Source organism: Homo sapiens, chromosome 5 (genome assembly GCF_000001405.40).
Source record: "Homo sapiens chromosome 5, GRCh38.p14 Primary Assembly".
Taxonomy (NCBI): Eukaryota; Metazoa; Chordata; class Mammalia; order Primates; family Hominidae; genus Homo; species Homo sapiens.
Genome location: NC_000005.10, coordinates 95,588,881 through 95,605,313, shown reverse-complemented (window position 1 = coordinate 95,605,313; position 16,433 = coordinate 95,588,881). Strand labels below are relative to the sequence as shown.

General features: G+C 36.3%; 1 protein-coding gene across 2 annotated transcripts in view, besides 1 other annotated feature; it reads right to left on the bottom strand.

The window, feature by feature from the left end:
* Positions 1 to 211: 211 nt before the first annotated feature.
* ARSK (arylsulfatase family member K) overlaps positions 212 to 16,433 on the bottom strand; it is a 50,002-nt gene continuing 33,780 nt past the window's right edge. For both annotated transcript variants that reach the window (NM_198150.3, XM_047416820.1), the window contains 3 exons: positions 13,689 to 13,913; positions 4,243 to 4,467; positions 212 to 2,077 (listed from right to left, as the gene is read on the bottom strand). In NM_198150.3, the coding sequence (NP_937793.1) occupies positions 1,788 to 2,077; positions 4,243 to 4,467; positions 13,689 to 13,913 (740 nt within the window). In that variant the 3' untranslated portion in view covers positions 212 to 1,787. The remainder of the gene's footprint in view (positions 2,078 to 4,242; positions 4,468 to 13,688; positions 13,914 to 16,433) is intronic.
* Positions 12,870 to 14,069: an enhancer, noted in NCBI's record as "P300/CBP strongly-dependent group 1 enhancer chr5:94926949-94928148 (GRCh37/hg19 assembly coordinates)". NCBI's record gives its function as "activates an origin of replication core promoter dependent on BRD2, BRD4, P300/CBP, MED14 and CDK7 cofactors, with strong dependence on P300/CBP, by STARR-seq in HCT116 cells {active_cell/tissue: HCT116}" and the evidence as "EXISTENCE:reporter gene assay evidence [ECO:0000049][PMID:35650434]".

Genomic DNA, 16,433 nt, shown 5'->3' with positions numbered 1-16,433 from the left:
ATCCTGGCTAACACGGTGAAACCCCATCTCTACTAAAAATACAAAAAATTAGCTGGGTGTGGTGGCGGGTGCCTGTAATCCAGCTACTTGGGAGGCTGAGGCAGGAGAATCACTTGAAACCGGGATTGCACCATTGCACTCCAGTCTGGGTGACAGAGCGAGACTCCGTCTCAAAAAAAAAAATGACAAGTGGAGAAGGCCATTCTAAATATGATACAAAATCCCAAAAGCCACAAAAGCAAAGATCTGTAAATTTTGTACTAATATTTTTAATTGACAAATCATAATTGTATATACTTATGGTGTACAAAGATTCATAAATTTGCTTACATGAAAATAAAAATTTCTACATATCAAAAAATACCAGAACAAAGTCAAAAGACAAATGACAATGACAAACTGGAAAGAAGATATTTGCAGGATCTCTTACAAAAAGCTAATATCTAAAGCACACCTGTAATACAAAACAAAGACCAACAACCAACAGAAAAATAGGCAAAGAATAGAAATAGGAAAGGCCATGGTAAAGCAGATTCCAGTGGCTGTTAAATACATGAAAATATGCTCTACGTTACTCATAAAAAGAAAAATAAAAATAGAACATTTTTATCTGTTAGGTTGGCAAAGGATAAGAAGACATGCATTGATGGTGAGATTATCAGTTAGTATACCTTCTTTAGAGGTAATTTGTAGTATCTAGTGTAATTTTGCTAAATATAGTCTTGACTCAGTAATTTCACCTCTAGATATCTACTGTTAAGTGAAAAAAAAAAGGAAAAAGAAGCAACATGCAGAACAATGTGTGCAGTATGTTACCGTTTGTGTAGGGGGAAAGGAATATATACATTTGTTTATAAATTTGTGGCCAATCTCTAAAAATGCGTAAGCAGGTGGTTTCGGTACTTGCTTCTTGGAGGGGGAACTGGATGGCAGGGAAGAGGGAAAGGACAGAGACTTCACGATCACTGTTAACCCTTTTGTACCATTTGAAGCTTTTACCCTGTATATATATTACCTATTAAAATAAAACAGTAACAAAATCAGGTACATCCAGGGTTTACATCCCGTTAAATACTCCAAATACTCCCATTAAATACATCCAAACAATCCCATCAAATACAAGTAACTCATCGAGCACCATCAAATGCTCACATACAACTATTTTATGATACATATTATTACAATATTTTATATTCTCTATTATTTAAAGGAACATAACTGTTACAGTATTTGCTTCAATTCTTTTGATACTTCCACTAAATTGTTAGAAATTGTACAAAGGCCTAAATAATAACCATTTTTGAAAATATGTGATTTTATAATCATTGGCATTTTATCTTAAAATACACTACATTCTTACAAAATAATGAAAAATTGGTAATTATTATTATTTTATTTTTATTTTTTTGCGACACAGTCTCACTCTGTTGCCAGGCTGGAGTACAGTGGCGCAATCTCAGCTCACTGCAACTGCTGCCTCCCGGGTTCAAGCGATCCTCCTGCCTCAGCCTCTGAGTAGCTGAGACTATAGGTGTGCACCACCGCGCCCAGCTAATTTTTGTATTTTTAGTAGAGACAGGGTTTCACCATGTTGGCCAGGATGGTCTCAATCTCTTGACCTTGTGATCTGCTTTCCTCAGCCTCCCAAAGTCCTGGGATTACAGGTGTGAGCCACTGTGCCCGGCCAAAACTTGGTAATTATTAAAACTGTTTCATTTAAAATACATAATTATGATCTTGTAATATATTTATATGTATCTCTAGAACACTATTTTTAAACTTTTTGTTCAAACTGCTCTTGGATTCATATGGGTTTTAAGCCACTGATCAATTGCATTTTCATACTTCCTTGGTTCCTTCTGCCAGTCTTGGTGCCACCTAAGATTTGCTATAACGTTTGAATAATTCTGTCCTATACTTTGTTTCCACTTGATAAACTGCTCTTTATTATACTGGTGGACAGAAGCAGAAACTTTAGGGTAGTTTATAATGGAATGAAGCTTCTGATCCAAAGAATAAGTAATTTCTGGAAATTTTACAGCAACATTTGTTAATTCATCTGGATCCGAGGAAAGATCTGAAAGAAAAAAAATAAGTATCTGTCAAAATAGTGACCTGCTAAAAATTTTTTTAGAATGTCATTATGACAGGTAATGTATTAGATTTTTTTTTTAGATTTTCAGTTCCTGTTAGTGTAGTAAAATGAAGGACAGTATAAATGGTAAAATAACATACCAGGAGTTAAACACCCTATGTTGCATGCCCAAATTCCCTCCTTCCTACCATTGTCCAGCTATCCCACTTTTTTTTTCTTTTCTTAAATGCCAGAAAAAGTCAAACTTTTATCATTAGTAAGCTGGTTTAGAACAAGTTCTTCCTGTTTTTGATGTCCTGCCTACTTTGACAGGCAGAAATGAATACAGTAATGCTTATACTGTACCATTTTAACAGCCTCAAACTTTCTACAAATTCTTTATATAGACAAGTCATGTTCCTGCAACTTTACTTAGTCCTAGTTTTCTTTATATATTAGTATCTTATGCTTGGAGTTTTGAAAGTTACATTCATCAGTACTGTCCATTTGAACAAACAGCCATGGAAATACAAACTTCTCAATCACTGCCAGCAAGAAAATAATGATAAATATTTCAGATCCATAAAGATACTTTTTAGATATGGTATGGGAAGACAGGGATATAACTAGTATACCAATCTAACTGGAAGAACAGCAAGTCAGAGATCTTATGACAATTAACTTCAGATAGTAAATGAACACTGTATGTTGAGGGAAAAACCTCTATGGGCCTACTTAAGTGCAGTAGCCAAGAGGCCCCTGAAGAGATATGTGACTTTGCTAGGTAATTTCCAGATGGTACATCTTTAGGAAAGGGAAATCAATAAGCCCTAAAAAGTACAGAAAAGGCTGATTCCCCACTTCTGACATTTTGATAGTCACATCAGTTTTTTGGTAGAACATGGTATAAAAAACAAAATTTCAACAAATTTAAAGAACAAATTGGCTTTTATTTAGTGATTCCTGAATTGGGCAGCAACCCCTCTAAAGATTTAGAAAAGGCATTCTGATGAGCTGAGCAGGGGAGGTGGGCTTTATAGGCAGAAAAAGGCTGATGAAAAAGTCCCAGAAACATGGAACAAAAAGCAGATTCGTCATTATAGTGTTACTTTCTTTGTCCAGTAAAAACAGAGGAGACTTCCTTATGCTGGTTCAGGTAAAATGAGCCCCTTCGGATTGGTTATTGTGATTCTCTTTTTTTTTTCTTCTAAAGTTCAGTTTGATTATGGGGCACCTACTGCCAGTGACCCCATTCTGGTTTGATGTGGTCTGTTGAGCCTGGTGTAGGAACTCAGTTCAAAACAATGGCCTCCCATAAATTTCATTTGACAATGGCCAATGAACAAGCAAGAGATGCCCATTACTCATCAGGATGAAAATGTAAAGACTTCCTTTTTCAGCCAAGAATCCTCCACTCTTCAAGTGAAGGGGGTTGGCCAGTTTGGCCCCCAAAGTATTATTTTGATAATAATTTTGCTATTTGTAACTGGGAAGGAGCCTTAGGGAGAAATAAATATTACTTATGGCTTTAGCACATATTTTATGTACTAAATGGGGACAAAGGATGAGTAAAACCCTGAATCTAAAAATGCTGCTTAAAAATTAATTCATAGAGTAGTGAAGCTGGCAGACATTTTTTAGAAGCTGTAAGAAGCATCAATTTTACAGTCACAGCTTCGTTGAAATCTCAGTTCTGCTACTTCTTAGCTGTGAGACCTCACACAGGTATCCAAATTTCTCTCATAGACTCCTCTGTAAAATGAGGATAATGGTACTATCTTGTGGGGTTGTGGTGAACATTAAATAATACATGTAAAATGTCAGGCTTCATAAGATAGGTGTTAATCCTTCAGAACAATGAGGTACAATGAGGTGTTGACTTCAAATTGGGAAAGATAACCATGAGTACTGAAAGATGCCCTGATCAGAGAAAACTGGTTTCAGTCATGAGACCCAGATCAAAAGCCTTAGGACACTTTCTCTGAAATTCAGCTGCTGATCTGCAAAGAGGCTGTTCCTCACATGGGCAACCTTTTGTAGATCGTCCTAGCATGAGAAGCAGCAGATATTCATTTATTTAACAAGGATTATTGGATATCTTGAGCAATGCTACATAGGGCAGTTCATTACACATAATATTACACTTAAAAATATATTAACAAACTTACCAAAGAGTTGAGGCAATATTGATGCACCATCCGAATAGGCTATATATTTCCAGTGGTTAGTTCGAAGCATGTAGGTGGAGGCATTCACATTACATCCATGGAATTCACTCAGAATCCAGGGTGGATGCAGGTTTTTGACTTTATGTTCATTCTTAAATGTTTCTGATGATAACGGCAACAAAGAGTATCCACTCAGGTTCTGAGGCAGAGGAATTCCAGCAATATCTATGTAACAAAAATAACCAAATATCTTAAAATAGCTCATTCTTTTATTAGCTGAACATTCACAAATAGCATCATTCACATTTTTTTCATACCATTAAATGCCATGGAGACTGGAGATTGTATATGGATTTTGTAAACAGGCTGCCAAAATTCACATGCTTACCCCACTGGCCATGTGGACTTCAGCAAGTAATTTACTTATCTCAACCTCAGTTTTCTCATCTGTAAGAAGGGGATGACCACAGTACTTGTATTTATTAGGTTCATTTTAGGTTTAAATAAGATACTTTATGTAAAATTCTAAGAACTCTGAGGACAATGCCTGGCAGATAGGAGCCTTCAACAAATAGTTAATATCACTATTCCTTTTTTCTCTAAATGATTAAATAATCATAGTTGTTTCTCAAAGTTTCTTTCATGGGATATTAACAAGTCTTATACAAGAAAGGGGTTTAGTAGTCTTATATGTTTGCAAAACAATGGTTAAACAAAATTAAATACATAAGTTTGTTGTAGATGTAAATTTATTGCTGATGTATATGATAAACCTTCAGGAGTGGTATATAGTATACTATGTGCCCCAAAGTTATGTGATAACAGAGCTTTTTACATTCTCAAGTAGCATCTTGAGGGACTAGCATCTTGAAAAACATGCTTTCAGGAATTGTGGATTATATTTAGGAAGGGAAAAATAATTTTTAACTTACCAAATGTAGACATATAGAACAACAGCATGAGAAATGTTCAACTGAAAAATAGCTTATACTTTTAAAAATTGCTTTCAAGGTAATTAGACCTTAAACTTCCCTCTTCCTATAGAAAAATTACCATTAATTATGTCTGGGTAATTAGGGTTGTTCCAAAATGAGTCTGCAGTTGTCTTCCCCAGCCCTTTTCTGGTTTCAATGTTCATATTTTATGTATAAATATTTCCAATGAAAAATAGAATTATATCTGTAATGTTAGAAATTAAACCAAATTGAATAAGAAAATTAATTTAACTTGACTATCTTTGACAAAAACAGGTTAATTAAAGGATAATAGGGAAGTAGATGAAGACCGCTATAAATCTTCTGAAGGTAGTTGTTTCATATATAACTTGATAAAAAAAGTTTGTAGCTTCCATTTTCCTTGGAAGAAGACTATCACAAGTATTAATTTTCTGCCAACCAATCAAAATTAGTGGCTTTTTTGTTCAGAGATAAGGAAAGAAAGAAGAGAGGAGTATTTCAGAGGTGACTGGTTAAAAACAAAAAGAGGAGAAAAGAGGTTAAAGAGGATGTGCCCGGGAGAGAAGCCTTGCCTGGGTGAAACTAACTGTGCTCCAAGACACAGAGACTACCTACTGTAAGCAGTGGAAAGAAGGCTGTGAGGGAAGAGGCTGGGTAAGGGTGGTCTGTGTGTCAGCCATCAGGAGGCACCACCAGCAAGGCATGGGAAGAGAGAGAAGTAGTCTTTAAGAAAGGTTGGGAGGCAGGAACCAACTGGCACATACTCATGACTATGGCAAGTTCTTGTACTCAGCATTTTAATAACCTTTAATACTTAGAAATGCCTTATTTTAGAACCATTCTTAATTTTCCTAAGGAAGCTTGGAAGACTAAGAAACTTATGTTTCTCCTGTGTTTATGAGAAGTCATTAGTAAACTGGGAAAGAGTCCATTCAAGTGTTCATTTTTAAAATTCATTCAGCAAACCAGGTGCTGTTCTAGCTGTAGGGAAACAACACTGGTCAAGGCAGAAAAGCTCTCCCAGAGCTAACATTCTAATGTGGGCAGACAGAAACAGCTGTGTCAGATGGTGGTAAGTGCAATGAAGAAGAAGAAGGCAGGGTAAGGGAGATAGAGAGTGATGGCAGGCATGTGGGTATGTGCTGTTTTATATAGGGTGGTCAGGGAAGGCCCCTCTGAGAAGGTCACATTTAGACAGTGTCCCGAGGAGGGGCTAGAGTGAGCCCTACAGTTATCTGGGGAAAGGGCATTCCCCCAGGGGAATAGCAAGTGTACAGTCCCCAAGGCAGGAACCTACTTGGTTTATTTTCCAAACACCAAGCAGGCCTGTTTGGCTGGAGTAGAGTAAGTGAGGGATAAAATTATAAGAGATGAGTTGGGGAAGAGAAGAGATCATGTTGGACTCTCAAAGCCTAATTAAAGACACTGAATTTTTACTCTAGGTGAAATGGGAAATCAGTAGAGGGTTTTGAGCAGAGGTGTGACAGTCTGACACTAACAACGGAATGGTGAATTGACTAAAAGTGGGTAAGGGCAGAAGGTCAGAGAGAGTTAGGAAGCTATTGCAGGAATCCAGGCAAGAGATAAGGGGAACTTGGGATTCCAGTCTATTATTGATAGAATAAAATACCTTTGTAAATTGATAAAACCCATGCGAAATATCCATAATATTTAATAAATACTTCAAGTATTTATTGGTTTTTCTGTGCCTCAGAAAATTGGGTTTTCATTTTTCATATATTTATCAATAATTCCCTTAAAAGCGCTTTAGTTTAGACTGCTTTTCAAAAAGCTGTTTGATTTTTATTTAAAATCATTTTGCATATTTATTTCTCCTGGCAAACCTGTCATTCTAACTCCATTTTAAATAAGCTTCATCTTTCATGGGAGTATAAGCACAGACTAGAAGTAACCGCAGGGTTCTTAAGCAAGAGTGACTTAATGTAAAACAGTAAACAAATGGTAAAAATGCAGGCCTGGATATGTGTGATGATCTCCTGAAGAGAGATGATATTATATTTCTTCCTGACCATATCAGTACATAATGGATTTGAGTGGTATGGCAATGATGCAAACTAATATACACATTTTTTAGAGCATATCTAAGAAGAATTAAACATATTAATGATAACCATATCTAACATTTAATTGTTCACCATGTTCCAGGCATTGTTCTGAGCTATGAAATAGCCACTATTACCCGCCCCCCACTTTTTTTTTTTGAGGCAGAGTATCACTCTGTCACCCAGGCTGGAGTGCAGTGGCGCAATCTTGGCTCACTGCAACCTCTGCCTCCCAGGTTCAAGTGATTCTCCTGCCTCAGCCTCCCGAGTAGCTGGGATTACAGGTGCACATCACCACGCCTGGCTGATTTTTGTATTTTTAGTAGAAACGGGGTTTCACCATGTTGGCCAGGCTGGTCTTGAACTCTTGACCTCAAGTGATCTGCCCACCCTGGCCTCCCAAAGTGCTGGGATTACAGGCGTGAGCCACCACGCCTGGCCTATCCCCATTTTCATTGATGAGAAAATTGAAGACCAGACATGTTGAGTAACCTGCCCAAGATTACGCAGTTGGTAACGAGTAAAGAGGGGTTTGAACTTAGGCAGTCTGACCTTACAATCTCTGTACTTTTAATACTACACCATAAGCCTTGCCTTACTGTAGTTAGCCAACTTCATAATATTCCTCAGCCAATAAAAACACAAGAATCTATGCAAAACACCTGCCAACCCCCAGGCTTCCACTAAGGTCCTGTAACAAGAAGGGTTTTGAAATTTAAATTACTAGCAATGAAATATTCTTTTAACTACAACTGCATTTTTGTATAATTACATTCTCAAAATTAAAAAAATCTAGACTTATCTTTTAAGTGGAGAAAGGCAGGTGTTTTACAGAAAGACTATTACAGAAAACAATTCACATGAAAATAAGCTTAAAAATAAAAATCAAAACAATTTTAACTACAAAACGAGACACCTTTAGTTCTTACTGAGCTAAAAGATGCTGATACCAGGTATTAGAGAAGAAAATATTTCGGGAAGTAATTTTTAAATAATCTCAGAAATAATATCAACTTTAATATTAATATTATAAAGAATTCCTATTCATAAATGTCATTTTCCTGCTGGTATTAGGAAATGATAATGTAATAGTATCCTATCACACTAGTGATAGAATTAGTTTATTTGATCCAAAAGCACAAATAAACTAAGCATATTCTTCCTATTTTATCATAAAATATTTTCTTTAAAAAAACCACTCTTTTAAAATACCTTTTAAAAAATGACTTGTAAATTCAAACTTTTAAATAAAGTATTGTTGCATCTTAAATTTCAATAGCCTCTTGATAGTAAGATAGGTTTATTAAAACAGGAATTCCAGTTGGTTTTTCTTATTCAGTTTCTTTCTATTGAAGGTAGAATAACCATCTTTTATACATTTCTAAGATCCACAGAATGGAAGTGAGGAGGAAATATCGCTTGAGTTTTTGGCTTGAGATATATATATATTTTTTGATACAAGAAGTGTTTTTTTCTGTTTAACAGACATTTCAGGATTTTAATTTCATTTTTAGTTTCCAGAAGACTCAAATATTTTAAAAGTCAAATACACTATAAGCAAAGTTTATCCTTGAAAAATCAATTTCAAAACAAATTTTTCTCTTTATATCATTTTTCTTTATAAGCCTCTCCTCTGTGTGTGTAAACAGGATTCATACAAAATAATAAAGCTACAGCTAAACTAATAAAGAAAGGACTTTGAGAGCTCTAAGAATAGATACTTGCTTATATCTATTTTAAGCTCCTAATTGGTTAGAACAAAATAAGAAGTCCTTTGTAGATGTTTTATCAAAATATGTATAAGTTTGTTTATTAAGCAGAGGTGAAGTAGAACATACTGTCTCACAGGTCTAATTTTAGAATTAATCACTAATAAAGTAGCTTTAAACTGTTCCAGCACTGAGGAATTTTATCTTAAAAGGTTGAATGATCCATCAGATTAAACGTAGACCATCAGAATGATCTTTGTTTTGTTGGCTCCTAAGGCTGTTAAATAAAGAGTAGCCTCAGTTTCTGCCTGTTAATGCTGGTGTAATTGTTAATAGTACTCTAAAAACCTGCTAATTTGGACAGTAAATTAGATGGACACAGTATCTAAAAAGGAAACAAAACAAAACAAAAACATCAATTTGTACAGTTTTAAAGCCTTCATTTTCTTTTTAATACATGGGGGCAATTTTCACACATTTCACTTGTTAAAATTAATTGACTTTTTTTTTCAACGTTTTACATTCAGTGGGTACATGTGCAGGTTTGTTCCCTGGGTATATTACTTGATGTTGAGGTTTGGGATAGGAATGATTGCATCACCCAGGTACTGGGCATAGTGCCCAACAGTTTATCAACCTCTGGCCCTCTGGCCCCCTCCCTCCCTCCCTCTCCCTTCTAGTAGTCCCCAGTGTTTCTTGTTGGCATTTTTACGTCCATGAGTAACCAATGTTTAGTTCTCACTTATAAGTGAGAACATCCGGTATTTGGTTTTCTGTTATTGTGTTAATTTGCTTAGGATAATGGCCTCCAGTTCCATTCATGTTGCTGCAAAGGCCATTATTTCATTTTTGATGGCTTTGTAGTATTCCATGGTGTATATGTGCCACATTTTCTTTATTCAGTCCACCACTAATGGGCACCTAGGTTGATTCCATGCCTTTACTATTGTGAATAGTGCTGCAAGTGCATGTCTTTTTGGTAGAATGATTTATGTATTTTTTGGTATGTACCCAGTAATGGGATTGCTGGGTCTAATGGTAGCTCTGTTTTAAGTTCTTTGAGAAATCTCCAAACTGCTTCCCACAGTGGCTGAACTAATTTACACTCCCACCAACACTGTATAAGTGTTCCCCTTTCTCTGCAGCCTCACCAACATCTGTTGCTTTTTGACTTTTTAATAATTGCCATTTTGACTGCTATGAGATGCTATCTCATTGTGGTTTTGATGTGCATTAGAAGTGACTATTTTTAATCCAATCATTACTACTAGATATTCATATTGTTTCTAATTCTTAATATGGTAATAAATATCCAGGGAGATAAATATTTGTGCATATCTACAGGTTATTTCCTAAAATTAGGATTTCTAGGTCAAAACGTATGCACATTTCTAAGAAATATGAAATGTAACGTCACATTTGCCTACAAAACATTTGTATCAGTTTATATTCCCAGTAGCAGTATATGAGAAGGACTATTTCTTTCTTTTTTTTTTTTTTGTTTGAGACGTAGTCTCGCTCTGTCACCCAGGCTGGAGTGCAGTGGCACGATCTTGGCTCATTGCAAGCTCCGCCTCCCAGATTCACGCCATTCTCCTGCCTCAGCCTCTCAAGTAGCTGGGACTACAGGCGCCTGCCACCACGCCAGCTAATTTTTTGCATTTTTAGTAGAGACAGGATTTCACCATGTTAGCCAGGACAGTCTCGATCTCCTGACCTCGTGATCCACCCGCCTCCACCTCCCAAAGTGTTGGGATTACAGGCGTGAGCCACCGTGCCCAGCAAGAAGGACTATTTCTAATATAAGATTTTCTAATTCTTCTTAACCTTTGTAAACTTTATATGTGAAAGAAAAATATTTTTCTGTTTTAATATTTTTATGACCACTGACTTTGATTCTTTAAAAATATATTGGCCATTTGTGTATATTTTCTGTTGTGAATTGCTTATTTCTTTTGATCCATCTGTTAATAAGGTATTCCTCTTTTTCTTACAGATTTATAAGAGCTCTATGAATATTAAACCTTTATCATTTATAAAAAGATTAATTTAAGTAAATAATTGTGTTACAATGTTGTCTCCTGGCTCCAGCATAAGGTTTTTGTTGCATTGTTCTCTTTCTACCATTATCACTGGTTAACATCTGGTTAATAGAATGTTTCAGTGTTTTATATAAAGACCCATCCATAGGTATTCTCCACTCACTCTTCCCCAACTAAAAAAATCATTTAAATGTAGCTTTCCCTCTTCTGATAATAAAAATAATATTCAATGTGAAACACATTATAAACTGTGCTAAGCCACGAAGATGTTAATTTTTCAGTTTAGAATTGGAGAGATTTATTTTTGACTTTATTTCCTTTTACTGAGGAGGTCTAATCAACACATGATCTAAATGCTGTTAATAAAACATATTCTGCAGGGAAATGTGACTTAGAAGGAGTCTATTACCAAGAATCTTATGAAAAATAAAAATCTATATAAAACTATAGTTTTAGAGAATTATAATAATTGACAAATTGCAGGAAAAAAACCTACAGGTGCAGGGAATTTACATCATTTACAGAAGAGTTGGGATGGAATTTAGAGGAGTTTCTGAGACAGTATTTTCTTAGCTAGAGAAATTCTTATTAGCAAGTAACATAAATTAGGCAGTGATGATAGGTAGATGCATGAGAATTTCCCCATTCTAACAAATTTTATTTAGTATTTTCTTATATGACCTGTTAAATACATTATGAAATCTGCTAGTTTGCAGATGACCTTTAACTTTTATGATGTATAAAATGGCAAGAAGTAATAATGGTATCTTCTCAAGATTGTAGAGTACAAAATTTGCATTGTGGGCAAATATAAAATAATGTTTAAAGAAAAATGATTTAAACCATGCATTTTAATTAACTAACATATATGATGACAGAATGTCTAAGAATTGAATAGGGCTCACTGTAGACAACTCCCTAAAGATATTTAACTATTTAGCTGCTAGAGTCAAATAGATAAAATGGCAACTATCACTTTGAAATATACTGAGGGAAAAACGGAGAAAGAATCACCCCAGCTTTCCATAATCTTTTACAATACCTTTTTGCAGTTCTGGTCACTATACCTCAAGAAAACAGAATGAGGCTAAAAAGTCAAGCAAAGATGACCCAAGGAAGATTTTCTTTGGGAATGGGGAGGGTAGGGAGAGTTCTACATGAAGAAAAATTAAGGAAGGAAATTGTAAAGAATATAGGCATATATTCATAAAACTCTAAATTCATATATATTCATAAAACTCTAAATATACTAATAAAAGAGACCCAAATATACACAGTTCTATATAAACTTCTTTAAAAAAAACACAGAAATGAGGAAAAGTAATAGTGATCAGCTAGAAACTAATGGAATGAGAAAGTGGCCCAGATATGGCTGAGTGTGATCATTACTTTGGGATAAAGGGAAACCAGCAAATGATGACTAAGAAACAGAAGAGATTAAAAATTCAAAGAACTGGCCAGGCTTAGTGGCTCACGCCTGTAATCCCAGCACTTTGGGAGGCCGAGGCAAGCGGATCACAAGGTCAAGGGATCAAGACCATCCTGGCCAACATGGTGAAACCCCATCTCTACTAAAAACACAAAAATTAGCTGGACATGGTGGCAGGCGCCTGTAATCCCAGCTACTCAGGAGGCTGAGGCAGGAGAATCACTTGAAACTGTTAGGCAGAGGTTGCAGGGAGCCGAAATCGCACCACTGCACTCCAGCCTGGGTGAAAAAGCGAAACTCCATCACACACACACAAAAAAAAAGAGTTCAAGGAACTGGAAAGAAGTATGTGTAATTATATGAGAAGGGATATGAAATAAAAGAGGAAAGGACGCTGGTTTAAATTAACTCTAAATAAATTTAGTTAAATTAAGGGAAGAACTTTGTGGCAGAAGGAAGCAGATAAAAAGAACTCTGATTTCTTTGATTTTAAGATGCATCTTTCTTTCACATTTTAACATTTCTGAAATTAGAGAACATAACTTGTGCTATTTTTTTTTCTTTCACCAAAATTTATGAATTGAGGGTACTTTTTCCAATTGATGGTGCCTTAGAACAGAGAAACTAGTGTTTAAATGCTAATGAATTTAAAGTACTTTGCTAAATGAGATAGAAACTAGAAGTTAGTTCTATGATTTCCTTTGAATTTGATTATGTCGTTATTCTAGTATCTTCAACAAAAACTGCTAACTACCCTTATCCATATGTTGCTTTTCTAGACATATGGCTATGCTTGTAGACATTAAGAAGCTAGTAAAGCAAATAGTACAGAACTATCTAAAGAGTCTGAGGAGGAATATGTTCATACTAGTTTCAAAGTGAATAGAATAATTCAGAAAGGAAATGCTTACATTTTAAGGAGGTGGTGGTAGACAATCAAATGATGTACAAATCATATCTATAAGGTTATGAACCCGAATATCTTACATGGCTTACTTTACAGTCATCTCCTGAATACAAATCTTTTGAGGGAAAATGACTATAGTAAGTGAAGGCCACAGGGACATGAAAAACAATCTCTTCATTCTTCAGAGTACAGATTTGACTCACAGTTGAATGAGTTGCTCAGGGTTATAAACAAGTCAGCAGGACCTCTGACTACTAACTGAAAGACTGACTCACTGACAACTTCAGTTGCATTCTCCAGCATTATTACAAATAAATATTTACAGAACTACATTACTTACCAAGCATGGTAGGGTAAATATCCACAAGAGAAACCACATTTGATACTTGTAGGCCGGCTTTAATTCCTGGTCCCATCATCAAAAGCGGAACATGTGCACTAGCCTCGTACATGCTCATTTTATAAAACTGTCGATGTTCCATGGCCAGCTCTCCATGGTCTGAGGAGTATATGACAATAGTTTTCTGAAGAAGATCTAATTGATGAAGGGCCAAAATAATTTCACCTACAATAGAAATCATGATAAACCGATTAAAACTTTCAGTTCATGTTTTATTCTATCACATTAAGTTTATAACCACTCTACCCTATAAGAGTTTGTCACTATGCTTCTTAACATCTGAATATTACCTACTGTTCTCAAGTTAAGTCTAAAGTTGACAGTGGTCTGTCTACTGCTTGCTCTTCAGCTGACTAGAGGAAGAAGAAAATATAATACCCATGGGAACTCTTGCTCAAAGCTGCTTATCTGGAGATCATGCCGGCTTGTTTTCTAGGTTTCTACCAGAGAATAGGGGAAAAAATCTTCCCCTTAGTGCCTTGAATGAGAAAAGAAAGATCAGTTGGATATGAGCACTTTACATGTCTCAGATGATAAAAAGATTGGTATCACCTCTGACCCACAGTTTCTGTGCAACAGGAAGTGATAAGAGCAGTCAGAACTCTTCTTCTCTGCTACTTTTTCTCCCAAATCTCTAAGCAATCACCAGATCATGCTCATAAAGTTGGCTGAGGATTATGGAAATCCCACCTTTGAAGAAGGGCTGGAAGCAGGACAGATAGTGTACAAGTTTGATTTAGCATCTTCTTGGATAGGGAATAATGGGACAGTAAAATTCCTCTGACCAGTTCCTGTCTCAGTGTTCTCGAACTTCCTCCTACTGTAATTAAGAGAATCACAAGAAAGCACAGGCCAGAGAGAAGGGTCATCCCTATTTTGGCAGTTCCTGAATCTGGGTAGAAGAGTGTATATTAATTTAAAAACCTACAGATTCTGAGGTGTAATCAGGATTGACATTCACTGCTCTATGGAGTTATTTGCAGAGTTGAGACTCTCTTGATTTTTCAACTGGACAACTGGAATTACTTACTAATCGGTCTTGCCCCTACTCCTCTTTCCCCTGCTTGTACTATCCTGGTGTCTATCTTTCTAAATTACCTAATCACTCCATTGTGTCACATCCCTGCTTGAAACTTTTTCATAGATGCCCACTGTCGAATTCTTTAGCATAACAAGCAATGCCCCTGTCCACTCTCCACACTCAGCACCCTCGGCTACCTGCTAGACCTTTACGTTTCAACAATCCTAACCTGCTCAGAACCTCCTAAACACACACCATATTAGTTTACGCTTTCTTGCCTCTGCATATACTCTGCCATTTATGGTGAATGCCCTTTCTCCCACAGTCTACTTGACAAATTCCTATTCTTCCTTTATGACCCAGCTCAAACATGCATTATCTCTCTAGCAAAGCACCATTCCCTGCTCTTCTAGGTAGAGTAAATCACTTTGTTCTTCAGGATGCCTACAACTTGCATATTACTGTAGTCACAACAACACATTGTAATTCTTAGCATTTATGCTCATTCAATAAATGTTTACCGATTATGCTCATTCAATAAACGTCTAACTGGCAATAAATAATTGCCAGTTAGAATGGTAATTATTACAAAGTCAAGAAACAACAGATTTTGGAGAGGTTGTGGAGAAATAGGAATGCTTTTACACTGTTGGTGGGAATGTAAATTAGTTCAGCCATTGTGGAAGACAGTGTGGCAATTCCTCCAAAATTTAGAACCAGAAACACCATTTGACCTAGCAATCCAATTACTGGGTATATACCCAAAGGAATATACATCATTCTATTACAAAGATACATGCACATGTGTGTTCACTGCAGCACTATTCACAATAGCAAAGACATGGAATCAACACAAATGCCCACCAACAATAGACTGGATAAAGAAAATGTGGTACATCTACACCATGCAATACTACGCAGCCATAAAAAGGAATGAGATCATGTCCTTTGCGGGGACATGGATGGAGCTAGAAGCCATTATCTTTAGCTAACTAACGCAGGAACAGAAAACCAAACACTGCATGTTCTCACTTATAAGTGGGAGCTGAACAATGAGAACACATGAACACGGGGAGGGGAACAATACACATTGGGGCCTGCCAGGGAAGGGAGAGCATTAGGAAAAATAGCTAATGCATGCTGGGCTTAATACCTAGGTGATGGGTTGATAGGTGCAGCAAACCACCTTTTACCTATGCACACGTTTACCTATGTAACAAACCTGCATACCCTGCACATGTACCCTGGAACTTAAAATAAAAATAAAAGAATGTCCCCGCCCTCATGAAGCTTGTGTTCTTCTAGGGAAACAGATGGTAAACAGACGAATAATTAGTATTACTATGTAAACAACCTGACAAGGTATAAAGTAAGCAGAATGATGGAGCTGGCACACTGAGTTAGAGTGGTTGGGGAAGACATCCCTGAGGAGGTAACAACTGAGCTGGGATCTAAAGACAGAATAAGCCAGCCATGTAGAAAGCAAAGGGAAGGGTGTTCCAGGCAGATGAAACAAAATATAAGACCTTGAGGTGGGAAAAGACACTAGATTGTCTTTAATTTTTTTTTTGTTTGTTTGTTTTTGAGACGGAGTCTCACTCTGTCACCAGGCTGGAGTGCAGTGGTGTGATCTTGGTTCACTGCAACCTCCGCCTCCCGGGTTC